Source organism: Homo sapiens, chromosome 15 (assembly GCF_000001405.40).
Source record: "Homo sapiens chromosome 15, GRCh38.p14 Primary Assembly".
Classification (NCBI taxonomy): domain Eukaryota; kingdom Metazoa; phylum Chordata; class Mammalia; order Primates; family Hominidae; genus Homo; species Homo sapiens.
In genome coordinates, this window is record NC_000015.10 from 73296464 (window position 1) to 73315728 (window position 19265).

At 45.1% G+C, this 19265-nt stretch overlaps 1 protein-coding gene and 1 non-coding gene across 30 annotated transcripts in view; both read left to right on the forward strand.

The window, feature by feature from the left end:
• The window catches only part of NEO1 (neogenin 1), a 253515-nt gene extending 244772 nt beyond the window's left edge, over positions 1-8743 (forward strand). For 25 of the 29 annotated variants that reach the window (XM_047432591.1, XM_011521628.3, XM_011521633.4 and 22 more), the window contains 3 exons: positions 1885-2148; positions 4858-4994; positions 6150-8743. In XM_047432591.1, coding sequence (XP_047288547.1) covers positions 1885-2148; positions 4858-4994; positions 6150-6233 — 485 coding nt within the window. In that variant the 3' untranslated portion in view covers positions 6234-8743. The remainder of the gene's footprint in view (positions 1-1884; positions 2149-4857; positions 4995-6149) is intronic. The other 4 variants (NM_001172624.2, NM_001419531.1, NM_002499.4 and 1 more) reach the window with 1 other exon arrangement.
• Positions 3447-3516, forward strand: MIR12135 (microRNA 12135). Its single transcript, NR_162148.1, has one exon. It is a non-coding gene; the product is annotated as a microRNA 12135 (primary transcript).

Genomic DNA, 19265 nt, shown 5'->3' on the forward strand with positions numbered 1-19265 from the left:
ACACTTGGGAGGGTGTACGAGTCCCTCATCCATGGACCCAAGATCAGAGGTGCCACTCGTGACTGGTGTGGCCTGACTTCTCAGAGCCCAAGGGCACAGATTCACTGCTACTTCAGCAACAAAGGCAGGGAAATGTGTTGGATTTCTGCAGATTGCTCATGCTTTACAGTATCCCCATCTGCGGGGATACATTCCAAGACCCTCCCCCTCCCCCCGCAGTGGAGGCCTGAAGTCGCATATAGTACTGAACCCTTTATATCTGTTTTCTCCATCTGATAACCGAGACAGCTACTAAGTGACTCAAGGGCAGGTAGTGTACGCAGTCTGGATAGGCTGGACTAAGGGATGAGGCACATCCCCAGTGGAATGGCGTAAGATTTCATCATGCTACTCAGAACGGTGCAAAATGTAAAACTTATGAATTATTTATTTCTGGAATTTTTCATTTAAATTTTTGGACAGCAGTTGGCCACAGATAATTGAAATCATTGAAAGCAAAAGCATGGATAAGGGGGACTACTGTACTTGTTAAGGTTGAGGACTCCAGAAGTCAGAAGAGGCCTTCAGGCCACCTGGTACAGTCCATTGCCCTGAGCTGTGTCCCCATCCCTCTCCTCACAGGTGGGGAAGCTGGTCACCAGCTCATGCTGTTGGAAGGGTCTTCCTTATGTGGTCTCCCCGGGCCTTGGTGCTGCTTCTGCCCCACAGGGTGGGGGCAAGTGGTAGTCTGGGTGTGGAAAGGTGTGTGGTGGTCCAGAGCATGTGTGTGGAAGTCGGAAGGCAGGGATTCAGATTCCACCCTGCTAGTTCTTAACTGTGCAAATGGGCAATTTGCTTAACCTCCCAGTGCCTTCTGAGTTACTTTGAGGATCTAGTGAACTAATGAATGTAAAGCAGCTGGCATAGTGCTTGGCTTAAAGTAAGCACCCAGTAATTTACAAAGAAAAGAATCTTAATAGATAGATATTCAAGCACCGTGTTCAGCACTTTTCATACATCTCATTCAATCCTCAAAGAATTATGTGTTATTCTCCCTCTTTTGTAGATGAAGAAACTGAGACTCAGAGATATTCAGTGACTTTGTCAAATTCACCCAGCTAGTACACAAAGATTGGAGTCCAGGTCTGTCTGACTCCAGAGTCCGTGCTTTTCTACCCTGCTGTGCTGCCTTCCAGAACAACTCTGCCCCTTCTTATATTTTGAGATTGTTATCATGTTCTTCCTGAGCCTTCCCTTCTCCAGGCTAATCTACCCCCATTTCCTTCTCTGAATCAAAAATGCCCTTCATTTGGTGTGATCTGAAAGCTGTGTGCAGACCTCTGGGCTGCTCTGTTTGTTGTCCAATTCTCACTTGAGCTATGGGTTTTTTGCTGTGATGAGGCCATGCACAGTCCCTGGAGGCACGAAGGCCTGTGGCATTGGCCTCTCCTGCAGTGACCGCCAGGCCTTGTCAGCAGAGCTGGCTACTGTCAGGTACCCGGCCAGCCTTGGTGGTTAGCCATGGTTGTCTATGAAAGGCCACTGTCTAAGATTCCAGTGAGTGAAGTTTTTAATTTTCTTTTATACTTATTTATATCTTAATATCTTAGTCATCTCAGGAACCTTTACAAGTGCTTCATAATAAATAATGAGGAGAACTTTAAATCTACAAAATTGTGACCACTTAGCTGTGAGGTGAAAAACTGGAATAGCTGGTTGAGTACAAAATTGTTCGAGACTCCATTCTTATCCCTGGCAGTGGTGCTAATCCATGTTCTCTTGGACTAGCACTGATCGCAAGTGCTATTGAGCTGGTTTAGGGAACCCCTAGAAGTAGCCAAACTGTGGGACTGTCACATATTTAATGGCAAAAGAAATGCTAACATTTAGACTTTCCTGCTGTAGAATCCGTTCGAAATACCCCCAGCACTGACACCATGCCAGCCTCTTCGTCTCAAACATGCTGCACTGATCACCAGGACCCTGAAGGTGCTACCAGCTCCTCTTACTTGGCCAGCTCCCAAGAGGAAGATTCAGGCCAGAGTCTTCCCACTGCCCATGTTCGCCCTTCCCACCCATTGAAGAGCTTCGCCGTGCCAGCAATCCCGCCTCCAGGACCTCCCACCTATGATCCTGCATTGCCAAGCACACCATTACTGTCCCAGCAAGGTGAGTGAGGATGGCAGCACACCTGGAGGGAGCACACCTGGAGTGACCCTTTGGCTCAAGCTTGGGACAAAGCCACCCCTTCTTTGAAGTATAGCAAAGCAAATATCCTCCAAGCCTATCTTAGCAATTCTGTTAGCGTAGCAGTGTGCCATTGCCCCGCCCAGGAAGTTTATGGCCTCCCCTTTTCTGGGAACACTTACAAACCGGAGAATAATTTGCTGGGAACCAAGGGCTGACCTTTTGAATTGTGTTTTATGTGCAGCACCTTTGGTGGTAAGTCCAATGGCATGGGAATGGATAGCAGATCTAGTCTGCCCAGACCCCTGGAATCACCTCACTTCGTAAGGTCCCTGCAAACTAGAGAAGGGATCAGGGAGGCCAAGGCTTGGACTCATAGGGTGGTGAAAGCAGAAGTAACCTCAGAATAGGGAAAGGAATCCTGTGAAGGGAAAGTCATTTACCCAAATCCACACAGCTCAGTAACAGTCCCCTGACCTCAAAGGCATGCTTGCTTTCTGCTCTTCCAAATTGTTACCTATTCATTTGCTTTAGAATAAGCCAGTGGTTTTCAAAATTTCTGGTCTCAGTATCCCTTTATAGCTTAAAAGCTATTGAGCACCTAAAAGAGCTTTTCTTCATATGGGTTATATCTATCAATATTTACCATATTAAAATTAAAACTAAGAAATTTTTAAAGTATTTTATTCATTTAAAAAAGCAAGTATCTATCATGTTAAGATAAGTAGCATATTTTTATGAAAAACAACTATTTTCCTTTTTTTTTTTTTATTTGGGATGGAGTCTCGCTCTGTCACCCAGGCTGGAGTACAGTGGGGCAATCTCGGCTCACTGCAAGCTCCGACTCCCGGGTTCACGCCATTCTCCTGCCTTAGCCTCCCAAGCAGCTGGGACTACAGGTGCCCACCACCATGCGCAGCTAATTTTTTGTGTATTTAGTAGAGACGGGGTTTCACCACATTAGCCAGGATGGTCTTGATCTCCTGACCTCGTGATCCGCCCACCTCGGCCTCCCAAAGTGCTGGGAATATAGGCGTGAGCCACTGCGCCCAGCCGAAAAGCAACTATTTTCAAAACAAAAATATAGTGAGAAGAGTCGTTTTATTTTTTGCAGATCTCTTTAATGTCTGGCTTAATAGAAGACAGCTGGATTTTCCTATCTGCTTCTGCATTCAATCTGTTGCAATATGGTGTTTTGGTTGAAATATAAGAAGAAAATCTGGCCTAACAGATATGTAATTGGAAAAGGGAAGAGTATTTTTATAACCTTTTCAGATAATTGTGGATATTCTTTTTTGATACTACAGCAAAACTCAGCAAGTTGTAGTTTTTTAAAGGTTTGTTTGTAAAGTGAAATCTGAAACCTTATCTATGAAATATTCATACTTCATTCCATTGAAATTCATTCATCTGTCTTGCATTTAATGCATGATACTAAAATATCACACATCGGTCATTTAGAAAATATTGGTCCACTACATTATGCAAATTCTGCAAATAGTGATACATTTCATTATCCAGTATCTAAAAACATATTCATTAATATCATCAAAATGTGTAAGTATTAAGTTCTCAAGACCATGGTGGCGGATGCAAGTTTTCCAAAATCCTGATTTTTACTTAAAACTTAAATTTTATCATTGGCAAGAAACACTATCCATTGTGTTCCTTGAATTGACAGGCTCACTTTGTTCATTTTCTAAAAGATGTCTCAAGAACCAGTTTGTCTGTCTTTGAACTAACAGTGATATTCCATGATAAAAACATTCAACTCAAAACTCAAAACTATCACAAGTACCTTTATTTAAGACAGCTGTTGGCCGGGCGCGGTGGCTCACGCTTGTAATCCCAGCACTTCGGGAGGCCGAGGCGGGTAGATCACCTGAGGTCAGGAGTTCAAGACCAGCCTGGCCACCATGGTGAAACCCCGCCTCTACTAAAAATACAAAAAGTTAGCCGGGTGTGGTAGCAGACACCTGTAATCCCAGCTACTCGGGAGGCTGAGGCTGGAGAATCACTTGAACCCGGGAGGTGGAGGTTGCAGTGAGCAGAGGTTGCTCCACTGCACTCCAGCCTGGGCAACAAGGAGAGACTCCGTCTCAAAAAAAAAGACAGCTGTCATACTTTGCACACAGCTGAAGTACTTTATGCATACTTTCCATTTTGTCACATACAGTAAGGTCAAGATTTAGTAAAATAAAAAATATGTATTCCTTTATTAAGGATGGTTCTTAGTGAAACTGGCTTTTTTAAACTGCACGTGCGTGTCAGTGAATGGCTTTACAGTTTGGCACCACTGCCTTAATTTGTGCTAAGGCTCCAGCAGCTCACCCACTATTGCCTTTGTATCCTCAGTGCAAAGGCAAACACAGTGGAAAGGCAAATAATGTCTTACTATAAAGAGAGCTTTGGCCTTCCAGATATCCTGCAAGGGTTTGTGGACTACCACACTTTGAGAACCACTGGACTAGGATATTGGTTTTCTAGAGACAGTGGAATATTTTCTCTGGCCTCATGAATGCCCTGCTATCTCCCTCCTTCCCTCTTATTCCAGTAACTTTTCAGAGCAGTATCCCTGCACTGGGTCTGTATGTCTCTCTCACCCCGAAGCAGCACTTGGACCTTAGGGCCTTCATGAGGTCTAGGGGAGGCAGGCTTGGCCACATATCTGATGGTGCCCTTTCCCCTCAGCTCTGAACCATCACATTCACTCAGTGAAGACAGCCTCCATCGGGACTCTAGGAAGGAGCCGGCCTCCTATGCCAGTGGTTGTTCCCAGTGCCCCTGAAGTGCAGGAGACCACAAGGATGTTGGAAGACTCCGAGAGTGTAAGTTCGTGGGGCCATCAGTCCAGCCAGATTGCCTGGGAACATGCCCCAGGGCCTGAGACTGCTGGTCAAGCTGATAATCTGTGCATACCAGGCCCGCCACCCAGAACTATGAAGCAGATACACTCATTCATTCAGTAGATACAGTGTTGAGCATCTCTTCTGAGCCGGGAACTGTGCTGAGGACTTGGTGTGCTTTCTTTCCCATATCCACTCTTTTTTTTTTTTGAGACAGAATCTTGCTCTGTCTCCCAGGCTGGAATACAGTGGCATGATCTCGGCTCACTACAACGTCTGCGTCCTGGGTTCAAGGGATTCTCCTGCCTCAGCCTCCTGAGTAGCTGGAACTACAGGCACCCATCACCATGCCTGGCTATTGTTTTGTATTTTTAATAGAGATGGGGTTTCACTATGTTGGCCAGGCTGGTCTTGAACTCCCTACCTCAGGTGATCCACCTGCCTCAGCCTCCCAAAGTGCTGGGATAACAGGCGTGAGCCACCACGCTCGGCCCCCATATCCACTCTTGAACATCTTAAATTAGCTTTTCACACTAGCCCAGCTAATGGCCCCTTCCCCCACATCCTGCCTGCCTTTTAGTTCTGTCCCTTCTGTCATTGTTCTTTTCTTGGTTTGAACCATCCATACATTCCCTCAGTTCTACTCTGTGACCTTTCCTGAGCAAGATGCTGGAGGAGAAAGTGCCTGAGTGGTTGTTCTCGAAACAAAAATCACCAGGGTCTTTCTTTGATCTTTCACTCTCAAACTCCAGTAAAAATGTTTTGCCTCTGAATTTCCAGGTACAGGATTCTCTAAGCGGAAAGCTTGGGGCCCAGAGATCCAGGGACATACCAACTGTGCTGACTGGGGCAGAGACCTAGAAGGGGCAAGCAGTGGGCCTTCTGGCCTGTGAAGTCATTGTGACCCTGGGGAGTATGTGTTGGGAGAAAGGCATTGTGCATTATCAGGAAACGGGATCCTAGTGACCTTGGGTCTATCCTGCTACTTTCCACTCTTCTGAGCCACCCTGCGTGTTAGTAGCCAGTTTTCTGGGGCCATTTGACTACTGACCACATGAGGCTTTGGCCTCTCTCTGGGCTCTCCTTTCTGAGCTGCTCCCTGGATCCAGCCCAGTAACAGTGTTTTCTTTTCCATAGAGCTATGAACCAGATGAGCTGACCAAAGAGATGGCCCACCTGGAAGGACTAATGAAGGACCTAAACGCTATCACAACAGCATGACGACCTTCACCAGGACCTGACTTCAAACCTGAGTCTGGAAGTCTTGGAACTTACCCTTGAAAACAAGGAATTGTACAGAGTACGAGAGGACAGCACTTGAGAACACAGAATGAGCCAGCAGACTGGCCAGCGCCTCTGTGTAGGGCTGGCTCCAGGCATGGCCACCTGCCTTCCCCTGGTCAGCCTGGAAGAAGCCTGTGTCGAGGCAGCTTCCCTTTGCCTGCTGATATTCTGCAGGACTGGGCACCATGGGCCAAAATTTTGTGTCCAGGGAAGAGGCGAGAAGTGCAACCTGCATTTCACTTTGTGGTCAGGCCGTGTCTTTGTGCTGTGACTGCATCACCTTTATGGAGTGTAGACATTGGCATTTATGTACAATTTTATTTGTGTCTTATTTTATTTTACCTTCAAAAACAAAAACGCCATCCAAAACCAAGGAAGTCCTTGGTGTTCTCCACAAGTGGTTGACATTTGACTGCTTGTTCCAATTATGTATGGAAAGTCTTTGACAGTGTGGGTCGTTCCTGGGGTTGGCTTGTTTTTTGGTTTCATTTTTATTTTTTAATTCTGAGTCATTGCATCCTCTACCAGCTGTTAATCCATCACTCTGAGGGGGAGGAAATGTTGCATTGCTGTTTGTAAGCTTTTTTTATTATTTTTTTATTATAATTATTAAAGGCCTGACTCTTTCCTCTCATCACTGTGAGATTACAGATCTATTTGAATTGAATGAAATGTAACATTGAAAAGACTTGTTTGTTGCTTTCTGTGCAGTTTCAGTATTGGGGCGGGTGGGGGGCTGGGGGTTGGTAATAGGAAATGGAGGGGCTGCTGAGGTCCTGTGAATGTTTCTGTCATTGTACTTTCTTCCAGAAGCCTGCAGAGAATGGAAGCATCTTCTTTATTGTCCTTTCCTGGCATGTCCATCCTTATTGTCACTACGTTGCAACTGGAGTTTGATTTGGATCTGGTTTTAAAATTCTTCTGTGCAATAGATGGGTTTGAGGATTTAGCGGCCCTGATGTCTTGGTCATAGCCTGGTAAGAATGTCCATGCTGAGGAGCCAGATGTTGTATTTCTAACTGCCTGAGTCACACAGAATAGGGTAAGAGCCTGACCCCATTCTGTAAATCAGAAAGCAAGGATGGAGACCCTTTCCTGCTGCTATTATTGGCTCTCTTTGAGGAAGTTGGAGGTTAAGGAAGGAACTTGTTTGTTTCCGTATACGACTCCTTCTTCTCTCTAGTTCAGTCTTCAGCCAGTCCAGCGCTCTCTTCCACACTTCAGAGCCCCTTCAGAGAAAGCATTAGCAGGAATGAGACAAGGCAGAGCTGCAGTGCCCCCTGAGGCTTCCACACATCTTTCTGAATATTATTTTTCAAGTAACAAGGGCAGGGACAGCGGAAACAGCTGCCCACCCCCCCCATCCCAGCAGCTCAGCTAAGCCCTGATGAGAATGAAGCCACAGGAGTTGTCTGAGGTGAACCCAGCCGCTCAGCCACACATGGAAGCCATTGCCTTTGCACATAGTTCTTGGGTTCTTTTTCCTAAAAAGGTAAGGAGCTGAGGTGTGTGGTTTTTTAATATTAAGAATATATAATGGAAAACACACGACTGACGCTCAGGCATCTTCCCCTACTCCCCAACAGATCCCCAGAAGACAGCGTGGAAGGCAGTGTAGACAGTAAATCGGGCTTCAGTTCTATAGCCAAGAAGAGATCAGCTGCTGAAACCACCAGTGGGTACCCCAGGCCACCTGCCTTTGAACTTGGGGATTTGCCATGTTTGATCTTGTCACATACTTGCTTTTTTACAAGATGAACTCTTTGTATTTATGATTTGGGGGGCAATGAAAGGTGCAATGCAGGAACTGCTGCTGCCGAGCTCGCTGGTCACATGGGGGTGCCAGGCGGGATTCTGGAAAACCAGTGCACTTAAACTGATCCTGAAGAGAGCTGTCCCAGCACTCTGGCCACCAGGAGGGCCAGATTCCCCAGAAACTACCTTTTGCCCAAAGAACATGCTCAGTATTTGGGGCATTTCCTCCCACAAACCCTGACTGCTTCTGTTACCTCAGGGCCTTGGTACCTGGATACTGCCACAGAATTGGGGCGGGTGGGGGAGGGGCCTATTTTTAAATAAAATAACTGTTCAAAGTTGGGGGTTTTTTAAAAAATTAAGAAAAAGGAAAGCTATTCTGTATTGCACCTTTTCACAATTTAATACATTTTCTTACATTTTCCTGTGATTTTCGAAACTAAACCATTGTGTGTCCTGTAGTGTCCTGGTTGAGCTGCCGCTCAGCAGCTTCCTCGGGGGGATTTGGAACACCTGTGTCTGTCGCCGCACTGCCTGTGGGAGGGGCCCAGAGGGCTGCTGGGACTGGCGTCTGTACACACTTGTTTGGCCTTTTCTGTAGTTGATGCTGTAAACTCTATGGCTTTTTAAAAACGATTTCATGTTTTTATTTAGTATTGGAAATCCAATACACTTTTTTAATCCAATCAAACTCTGGTCTGGTCAAAGAGTTATTTTCCTTTGTCCTTAAAAAAAAAAAATAACAACAACTTTGGGGCCCCCTGCTTCCCAGCCTCTAACTGACTTCACGGTTGCCTTCACAACTGTAAAGCCAGTAGTCTATGAGGAGACTCAGGGAAGGGTGGCAGGTGAGCCAGGAGGCTGCAGGAGGTGTTTGGACCGTCCACCAGTACCAAAAATGAGTCTTGTCCCTGTTCCCATCCCCCTGTTGCTGCCCTGCAGGGACTGAGCAGCCTGAGGAATCAGAGGGGGCCCCTGGCAGCCGTCCCTGAATGGAGTGCAGGCCATGTCCCTGCCGCGGCAGCGCATTCTGTTAGGGCAGACTGACTGTCCACGTGGGGCCTGGCCTCCCCACTCCCAGCCCCACCACTCATAGGGACCTGAAGCTGGAGCAGATGTCTCCTGGGATGCCCGCTTGCCCCAGGCTGCCTCACCTTACTGTGTTCACTGTGTAAGATTCCTCGTGGTGTCCCAGAGTCTGGGCCAGGGAATAGGGGACCTCAGCAGCCAGAGGCCTGAGCTTGCAATAATAGAATGAGGGCTAAACACAGAGCACAGTGTCCTCACTGCTCCCTTTGCCCCACTGTTCATCTGCTCTGTGGCTAGAGTGTACTTTAGGAAGCCCAAATCCCGTCCTTCCCATTAGCCACACTCCACTGGGCTCAGGATGAAGTCCATGCTCCCATAGCTGCAGGTTGGTGCTTGTCTGCCACAGCCTCCAGGTCCAGACTAATGTTGCCTTGTGTACCAGGGGTGTGGCCACAGAAAGCTACCAGTGAGGCCATTCTCAGTCTGCCTGGAGTGTCCTCTTTACTGCCATTCTGTCTTAAGTGCCGGGCGTCTGCTGCTACTATCCCTCCTGTGCGTCCCTAGGTGGAGCTCTTGGCACATATTACCATGATTTGTTTGAGTCTTTTCCTGGGCCCTGTGGGCTCAGTGGGGACAAGATTATTTCTCACTCCTTTCTGAATGTCTAATGCCAGGGGCAGTTTCTGACAATAGCAGATGCTTGTCTCTTGGATGGATAGACAAACAGTCACGAGGACTCATGCCCTGGAGCGTGCTGAAAGGCTTCACACACGCGCACAAGAAGCCCCCTCCTGGCAGGGATCCTAGTAGGTCCCCAGTGTTCTGGTGCTAGAACACTCCCATTTCAGCAGCCATGGCCGTTTGGCCTCCTGGGGTAAACGTGAAAGATGAAAGATGACAGTCATGAGAAACGATGCTGGACTGGGCCCAGTGGCTCACGCCTGTAATCCCAGCACTTTGGGAGGCAGAGGCAGGCGGATCACCTGAGATCAGGAGTTCTTGACCAGCCTGGCCAACATAGTGAAACTCTGTCTCTACTAAAAATACAAAAATTAGCCAGGCATGGTGGCGGGCGCCTATAATCCCAGCTACTTGGGAGGCTGAGGCAGGAGAATCGTTTGAACCTGGGAGACGGACGTTGCAGTGAGCAGAGACCATGCCATTGCACTCCAGCCTGGGCAAGAGTGAAACTCCATCTCAAAAAAAAAAAAAAAAAAGAAAAAGAAACAATGGTGCTGCCTCATGACCAACTTCAAGCTGGGAACTAACACAAGAATATCTTGCAGATTTGTTCTAAGATGAGCATATGGACAAGGGTGTATACGAAGAAGAAACACCTCTTCCCCTACCCCATTCCTGCCCCATCCATCAACCTCTCCCAATTGCAGCCACCTTCCTGCCAGAAGTGGGGAGAACCATCAGGAGAGACTGGAGACAAGCAATAAGCAAGCCATCAAATTGATGATGACAGGGCCATGGGCAGGGATTGGAGAACCAGGGAGCCAAGAGGAACCACTGCTAACCACAGACAGAACCCCAGACAGCAGGTACCCGATTCTTAACCTAGGGTTCCCAGCTACCAAAGGAGGGAGTTCACCAGGGGTGCAGGAGGAAGAGGTAGGAGACAGTAGTTGAGAGAAAATAATACTTGTTTTTAATAATCTTGTAAATGTACATAATGTTGGAAAAGTGCTACTTAAAACTACCACTACCCTCTAAGCATGGTGGATGATATTCATCTCAAGACACCCTTTTCCTCAATTAGGAACTTGGTTTGTAAAATGAAAGGGACCTAAAGCTGAGCTCCAAAAGGTTGGTGGGAGTACCTGCTGCACTATAGCACAAGAATAATTCGGGATTTCCTGAAATAATTAGGGGTGGAGGGGACACGCAACCGGTATAATCAACAAGATGGTGCAAGAATGAGGGGCTCTGTGGGAAAGCACCCCAGTGGGAACTGGCTGGCCTCAAGGTGTTCAAAGACCTTTCTTAAATGGGAAGATCTTTTTGTTTGTTTGTTTGTTTTGTTGTTTTTGAGTCAGAGTCTCACTCTGTCACCCAGGCTGGAGTGCAATGGCGTGATCTCGGCTCACTGCAACCTCCGATTCCCAGGTTCAAGCGATTCTCCAGCCTCAGCCTCCAGAGTAGCTGGGACTACAGGCACCCGCCACCATGCCCAGCTAATTTTTGTATTTTTTAGTAGAGACAGGGTTTCACCATATTGAACAGGCTGGTCTCGAACTCCTGACCTCGTGATCCACCTGCCTCGGCCTCCCAAAATTCTGGGATTACAAGCGTGGACCACCGCGCCCGGCCAAATGAGAAGATCTTGCCCTATTTGCACTTCTATGGAGTGAACCCCCTCCAGCTCCCCAAATCTCATGTAACATCTGCTGTGTGCACATGGCCTTGAATGTGTTACTGGACACTCCCCCAGTGAAGAAAACAGCATCTGGGCCAACATGGCGGTGGGCAGGCCATGAGTCTGGCATGGCACGGGTGACCCATGAATGGAATTGGTTCGCTAGAAGCAGGAGCTGAGGGCCAGAAGTGACCATAAGAATCTAAACCTGAGAACTCTCAGAAGTCCAGGGGGCAAAGGGGGACACAGGTCAAGAAATGTGGGTTCCAATCAGCCTAATCCAGATTTTAAGAGGCAGACTGACCTCAGCTTGTGTCTGAGTTGCCATCAGTTTACAATTTCTCCCTCCTCGGGGTCCTGGAGCAAAGCCTCATCACCCTGTTACTAGGTGTCAGCCCCTTGCTAATGGGGTCTGCCTTCTGTGGACCCGGTTGCCCAAAGGAGAAATCTGGGAGCCATTCTAAATTCTTCCCTCAACACCACAGCACATTGCTCAGCAAATCCTGCCAGCTCTTACCTCTCAGAGGTCCCCCAGAGTAGCTCTTTGCTGTCTGGTAGGCAAACTACTAATTAAGCCCCCTGCCTGAGTCTCACCAGCAATCAGGGAGCGATCCTCCACACAAGTGTTCAGGTGCTGCTTCTAACGCAAATCTGATGCTTCCCCGCTGCTCAGCACTGTGCGATGAGAGCTCCAGCACCTGCCCTACGGTAGAGACTCCAGTGTGGCCCTGTCTGCCTCGTCCCTTTTATTTCCCACTAACCTGCCCCTTCACCCGAATTTGGCCCTAACCATTGACAGCAATTTACACTTGCAGAATAAGCCGTGATGTCTGGCCTCTACTGTTTCCTCTGCCTCAATTTCTCTCTATCCCCTACCCTGACCACTGGCTTTCTCTGTCTGGTCATATCTATTCATCTTTGAAGGCCCAGCCTAACCATCCAGTCCCCTGATCATTCTTGTTCACGTTTCTGTCTCCGCCAATACACTGTGACCTCGCTAAGGAAAGCAGCTGTGCTTGGATTCTCCACCCGAGCACCCAGCACACCATAGGTCTTCACTAAATGAACTTGCCTCGTGAGGCAGATGGACTTGAAATCAGGTAACTAATACATCATGGCCCGGTACTGAGGGAATTTAACAAAGCCCTAATTCCTCCTAGGAGCATATACTTAAGGTTTTGCAGAGGAACTAAGGCTGAGCTGAGCCTAGGGTGTAATGTGAGGCTTATCTTTCTGGAGGAAGGAGGAGGCCACTGCAGAGCTGTGGAGCTGCCTGCTTCACGTGGCCATCAGTACAGATCCCAGCCATCCCATGTCACTCCTGTGCTCAGCCTCCTGTCACTGCATTCAGTGCAGAGGCCCCAGCAGGCCAGTGCAAAGGCTATGGAGGGTGCACAGGTCTGGCTAGCTGGCTTTCGGGGAGAGAGGGAGCTGGTCCCCCAGATTCCTGGAACACTGCAAGGGCAATACTGGGCCCAGTCAAGCTAAGTTTGGCTGGCCAGATACCACAGCTTGGGGTCAGTTCTAGTGAGACAAGAATAAAGTGGTTCCTTTTGTAAACTCAAAACCCAGGTCTTGCCGAGAATTCTGGGCAGCTCATGGCTTTCTGGAGAGGAAAGAGCCAGGATTTACTTTTGAAGGCAAAATTATGGATCAGGCTCCTGCAGACAAAGTTGCCCATGATACGTAAGGAGAATCAGCCAATGAACATTCTAGACTAACACACAGAAGGGAAATTGACTGTAACCAAAGCCAGAGAGATCTCAGTGTGGGCAGGTGGGATGAGAGAAGGAATATTTGCGGCCAGTCAGAAAAGGGTCTTCCTCACCCAAAAAGCTGGAAATCTTCAATTGTTTCCAAAGATACTTCTGAAGGCCCACTATATGCCAGGCACTGAGGATGCAAAATGAGTACGAGAGTACTCATGAGATGGTAATTTCATGAAAAGAACATGAAAAGTGCTAAGAGACCCAAACAAAGTGATCTGGTAAAGTAAAGAAGGAATTTCCAACCCTAACTGGAGAGTTGCGTGTCACGAAGTAGGTGACACTGAGAATGATGGACGAATTCACCAAAGAAAGGAGTTTCTTCCAGCATTGCTTGAACTAATCTAAAAAGCAGGAAAAATTCCAACACTGGATAAATTACAACAGAAAATGCTTTTCAGTGATTTGCTCCAAAGACAGTAAGGGATGTCCGTAACAGGAACAGAAAATCTGACCCAAGTGGTAGATGAAAAAAGAGGTTGGGGTTTCCTCAGGGAAAAGCCTAATACTAAGAACCAGAGGGAAGCCTGACTGACGCTTATCAAAAAATAAGTAAATGAGTGATCATCATCTTCCCTGAGAATTTGTTGAGAATTTTGTGTCTATATTCATAAGAGATATTGGTCTGTAGTTTTTTTTGAAGGGGGGAGTGTTGTACTTTTTGAGTGGAGGGGTCTGGCTTTGGTATCAGTATAATACTAGCCTCATAGAATAAGGGAAGTGTTCCCTCCTTGTCTATTTTTTGGAAGAGTTTGAAGGATTGCTATTAATTGTTCTCTAAAGCTTTGGTCGAATTCACCAATAAAGCCATTGGGGCTTGGGCCTTTCTTTGTGGGAAGCATTCTTTATTACTAATGTAATCTGTCGACTTGTTATAGATCTATTCGGATTCTGTATTTATTCTTGAGTCAGTTTTGGTAATTTGTTTCTAATTTGTCCATTTTATCTAGGTTATCTAATTTGTTGGTATACAACTTTTTATAGTGTTCTCTTATAATCTGTTTTATTTCTTTAAGGCTGGTAGTAATATATTTTATTTGACTCCTGATGTTAGCAAGTCTCTCTTCTCTCTCTCTCTCTCTCTCTCTCTTAGTCTAGCTAAAGGCTGCCCATTTTGTTGATCTTTTCCAAGAACTAACTTTTGATTTTGCTGATTTTTTATATTGGTTTTCTGTTCTCTATTCTATTTTTTTCTGCTTTCATCTTTATTATTTCCTTTCTTCTGTTTGCTTTGAGTTTAGTTTGTTCTTCTTTTCCTGGTTTCTTCAGGTGAATGTTTAGGTTATTGATTGGATTTTTTTAAGTATCAGAGCATACTACTCTACATTTTCCTATAAGCACTGTTTCTGCTGCATCCCATGTTTTTGGAATGGTACGTTATCTTTTTGTTTTCATTTTCATTCATCTCAACTTGTTTTTTTCGGGGTTTTTTGTTGTTGTTTGTTTGTTTTTGAGACAGAGTCTCGCTCTGTCACACAGGCTGAAGTGCAGTGGCATGATCTCAGCTCACTGCAACCTCTGCCTCCCGGGCTCAAATGATTCTCCTGCCTCAGCCTCCCTTGTAGCTGGGACTACATGTGCCTGCCACCAGGCCTGGCTAATCTTTTATATTTTTAGTAGAGATGGGGTTTCACCATGTTGGCCAGGCTGGTCTCAAACTCCTGACCTCAAGGGATCCACCCGCTTCGGCCTCCCAAAGTGCTGGAATTACAGGCGTGAGCTACTGCACCTGGCCTCAACTTATTTTCTAATATCCTTTGTGATTTCTGCTTTGATTCAATGATTACTTACATATGTGTTTAATTTGTATATATTTGTGAATTTTTCAAATATCTGTTACTAATTTCTAAATGTTGTTCTATTGTTGGTCAGAGAATATATTTCATATTATTTCAATCCTCTTAAATTTATTGAGACTTGGTTTGTGGCCTAACAGATAGTCTGTCCTGTAGAATGTTCCACGTGCCCTTGAGAAGAATACATATTCTGCTGTTGTTGGATGGAGTGTTCCAGAGATCCCTCTTAGCTCTCTTTGGTTTATATTGTTCAAATCTTCTATTTCCTGGCTGATCTTTTGTCTAGTTGTTCTATCAGTTATTGAAAGTAGAGTATTGAAGTCTGCAACTATGACTGTTGAATTGTCTATCCTCCCTTCCATTATGTCAGATTCACTTCATGAGTATATGTGTATGTGTATGTGTGTGTGTGTGTGTGTGTGTGTATAATCCAAATAGATCCATAACAAGTAGACAGATTACATTAGTAATAAAGAACACTTACCACAAAGAAAGGCCTAGGACCCAATGGTTTCACTGGTGAATTCTACCAAAGCTTTAGAAAACAATTAATAGCAATCCTTCACAAACTCTTCCTAATTTTATATATATATATATATACATATATAATTTTTTTTTTTTTAGAGAGAGACAGGATCTGGCTGTGTTGTCCAGTCTGGACTCAAACTCCCGGGCTTAAGTGATCCTCCCACCTCACTCTCGTGAGTAGCTGGAACTATAAGCATGTACCACCATGGTGGCTTAGGAGTTTGGGGGCTCTGTTGTTAGGTATATACATATAATTGTTTAATCTTCTTGATGGATTGACCTTTTTCTCATTATAAAATGTTCTTTGTCTTTAGTAATAATTTTTGTCTTAAAGTCTACTTTGATATTATTAAATAGTATAGCCACTCCAGCTCTCCTTCAGCTAATGTTTGCTTGGTATGTCTTTTTGCACCCTTTTACTCTCAACATATTTGCATCTTTGAATACAAAATCTGTCTGTTGTAGACAGTATACAGTTGGATCATGGTTTTGTATCCATTCTGCCAATTTCTGCCTCTAAACTGAATGTTTAATCCACTTACATTTAATGTAATTGCTGGTAAGGTAGGATTTACATCTGCCATTTACCTATTTGTTTTCTATATGTCTTGTGTCTTTTTTTTTTTTTTTTTTGAGATGCAGTCTCACTCTGTCACCCAGGCTGGAGGGCAGTGGCATGATCTCAGCTAATTTTTGTATTTTTAGTAGAGACAGGTTTTCACCATGTTGGCCAGGCTAGTCATGAACTCCTGACCTCAGGTGATCCACCCGCCTCCCAAAGAGCTGGGATTACAGGCGTGAGCCACCATGCCCGGCCATGTCTTACGTCTTTTTTGTCACGCTATTACTCTATTACTGCCTTCTTTTTGTTAAGTAGATATTTTCTAGTGTACCATTTTAATTCCCTTGTCAAAAAGCATGAATCATGAAAGAAAAATTTGGTAAGTTGGATATCATCAAAATTAAAAATGTTTACTCTCTTAAAGTCATGGTTAAAAAGTGAAAAGTCAGGCTGGGCGTGGTGGCTCACGCCTGTAATCCCAGCACTTTGGGAGGCTGAGCAGGTGGATCACAAGGTCAAGAGATCAAGACCGTCCTGGCTAACACGGTGAAACCCCGTCTCTACTAAAAATACAAAAAAATTAGCTGGGTGTGGTGGCAAGCAGCTGTAGTCCCAGCTACTCGGAAGGCTGAGGCAGGGGAATGGAATGAACCCGGGAGACGGAGCTTGCAGTGAGCCAAGATGGCGCCACTGCACTCCAGCCTGGGCGATGGAGCAAGACTCTGTCTCAAAAAAAGAAAAAAAACGAAAAACTGAAAAGGCAAGCCAAAAACTAGGAGATGATAATCGCAAAACTTATATCTTATAAAGGACTTATATCCTGAATATATTACTTACAATTCAATAAAGTGACTCAGCAAAAACAAATGAGTAAATATTCGAACAGTCACTTTACCAAAGAACATATACAGATAGCAAGTAAACACCTGAAAAGATGCTCGGTATCTTTAGTCATTATGGAAATGCAAATTAAATCCAGGAGTTAATATTACACACTCTCTTGAATGGTAAAAAATCAAGACTGACAACATCAAGTGTTGCATGAATATGAAGTAACCGAAACTCTCATATGATTGCTGGGAGAAATGCAAAAGAGTATTCCAGCTTTGGAAAAGAATCTTGTGAAGTTTCTTATAAAGTTAAAAATATATTTATCAGGCCAGGCATGGTGGCTCACTCCTGTAATTTAAGCACTTTGGGAGGCTGAGGCAAGTGGATCACAAGGGTTCGAGACCAGCCTGGCCAACATAGCAAAACCCTGTCTCTACTAAAAATAAAGGCTGCAGTGAGCCAAGATCGAGGCACTGCACTCCAGCCTGAGCAACAGAGTGAGACTCCATCTCAAAGAAACAGAAAAAAAAGGAATATATATATATATATATATAAAAAATAGCCCAGCAATGCCATTCCTTGAGTATTAAGATAAACAAAAATCTACATCCATCTTGAAAATGACAGAAGTAGATTTTAAGTGTCCTCACCACAAAAAATGGAAAGTATGTGAGGTAATGTGATAAGTATGTCAGTTTAATTATTTCAACGTAGTCATTCCACAATGTATACATATTTCAAAACGTGGTACATGATAAATTTACACAATTTTTCTTTGTCAATTTAAATAATTACCTAAAAAGAAAATCCACACCCAGATAAAGAATTGAACATAAATTTTCACAGGAGCTTTATTCTTAATAGCCCAAAACTGGAAACAGTTCCATGTTCATGAATGGGTGAGTGAATAAACAAACTATGGCATAGCCATCAGAAACATTAGGCTAAAGGAGAGAAATCAGACACAGACCATATGCTTTATGATGATACTGATATGAAATTCTAGAAAAGTCAAAACTTTAGTGACAGAAGGCAGACTGGCAGGGTTCGGGAGTGGGAGGAGGGGATTGACTGCAAAGAGCCATGCAGGAACCTGGGGAGTGATGGAAAGAGTCTATGACTTACTCGTTTAGGTAGTTGTAGTACTGTCTGTCAAAACTCATTGAGCTGTGCACATAAAATTGCTGAATTTGATACATATGAGTTATACCTCAATAAAGAAAATACGAGGTCAAGCTCAGTGGCTCAGCCTGTAGTCCCAGCACTTTGGGAGGCTGAGGCAGGTGGATCACTAGGTCAGGAGTTCGAGACCAGCCTGGCCAATATGGTGAAACCCCGTCTCTACTAAAAAATGCAAAAATTAGCTGGGCGTGGTGGCGTACACCTGTAGTCCCAGCTACTCAGGAGGCTGAGACAGGAGAATTGCTGGAACCCAGGAGGCGGAGGTTGCAGTGAGCCGAGATCACGCCACTGCACTCCAGCCCAGGCAACAGAGTGAGATTCCATCTAAAAAAAAAAAAGAAAAGAAAAGAAAAGAAAGAAAATAGAATTAGCACTAGCAACAAAAATATAAGGTACTAGGAATTAATGTAATGAAATGCAAAAACCTTCATGAAGAAAATGATAAGATTGTGTTGAAAGAATTGGCAGGGACAGTTAATACCCAGCAAAGATTGCAGGTGATCTCCCACACAGCACAGCCTCCTCTGCAGTTACGCTGTGGCCTTGTGACAATGGAATATAAGAGCAAGTGATGTTCACTGGTGAGAGATGTAGTTCAGATGCGGGAATCTCATCTAGTTGTCTCTTCTTCTCCCACAATGATCTTGGAGAATGGGGGTTCAGTTCAAGTTGGTATCAGTGAGGAAAATGCTGCCTGGGCTGCACAGGACTTTACCCAAGCTGGAATAAACCTTTATTGTCTTAAACCTTGAAATTTGTGGCTCTTTCTGTTGGGGCTGTTTGTGCTCATTAATACCAAAGACATTAAAGAAGACCCAAATGTGGGAAGTTATACCCTGTTCATCCATGGGAATACACATTTCCGCAACAATGTCAATGTAATTTCAATCAGAAGCCCACTGGACTCTTCATGTACCTCAACAGATTCTAAAATGTCTGTGGTAGTGCAAAGAGATTGGAGTAGCCAAGACATTCCTTAAGAAAAAGCTGGGGGGCCGGGCACGGTGGCTCATGCCTGTAATCCCTGCACTTTTGGAGGCCGAGGCAGGTGGATCACCTGAGGTCAGGAGCTTGAGACCAGCCTGGCCAACATGGTGAAAACTCGTCTCTACTAAAAATACAAAAAAATTAGCCAGGCATGGTGGTGGGTGCCTGTAG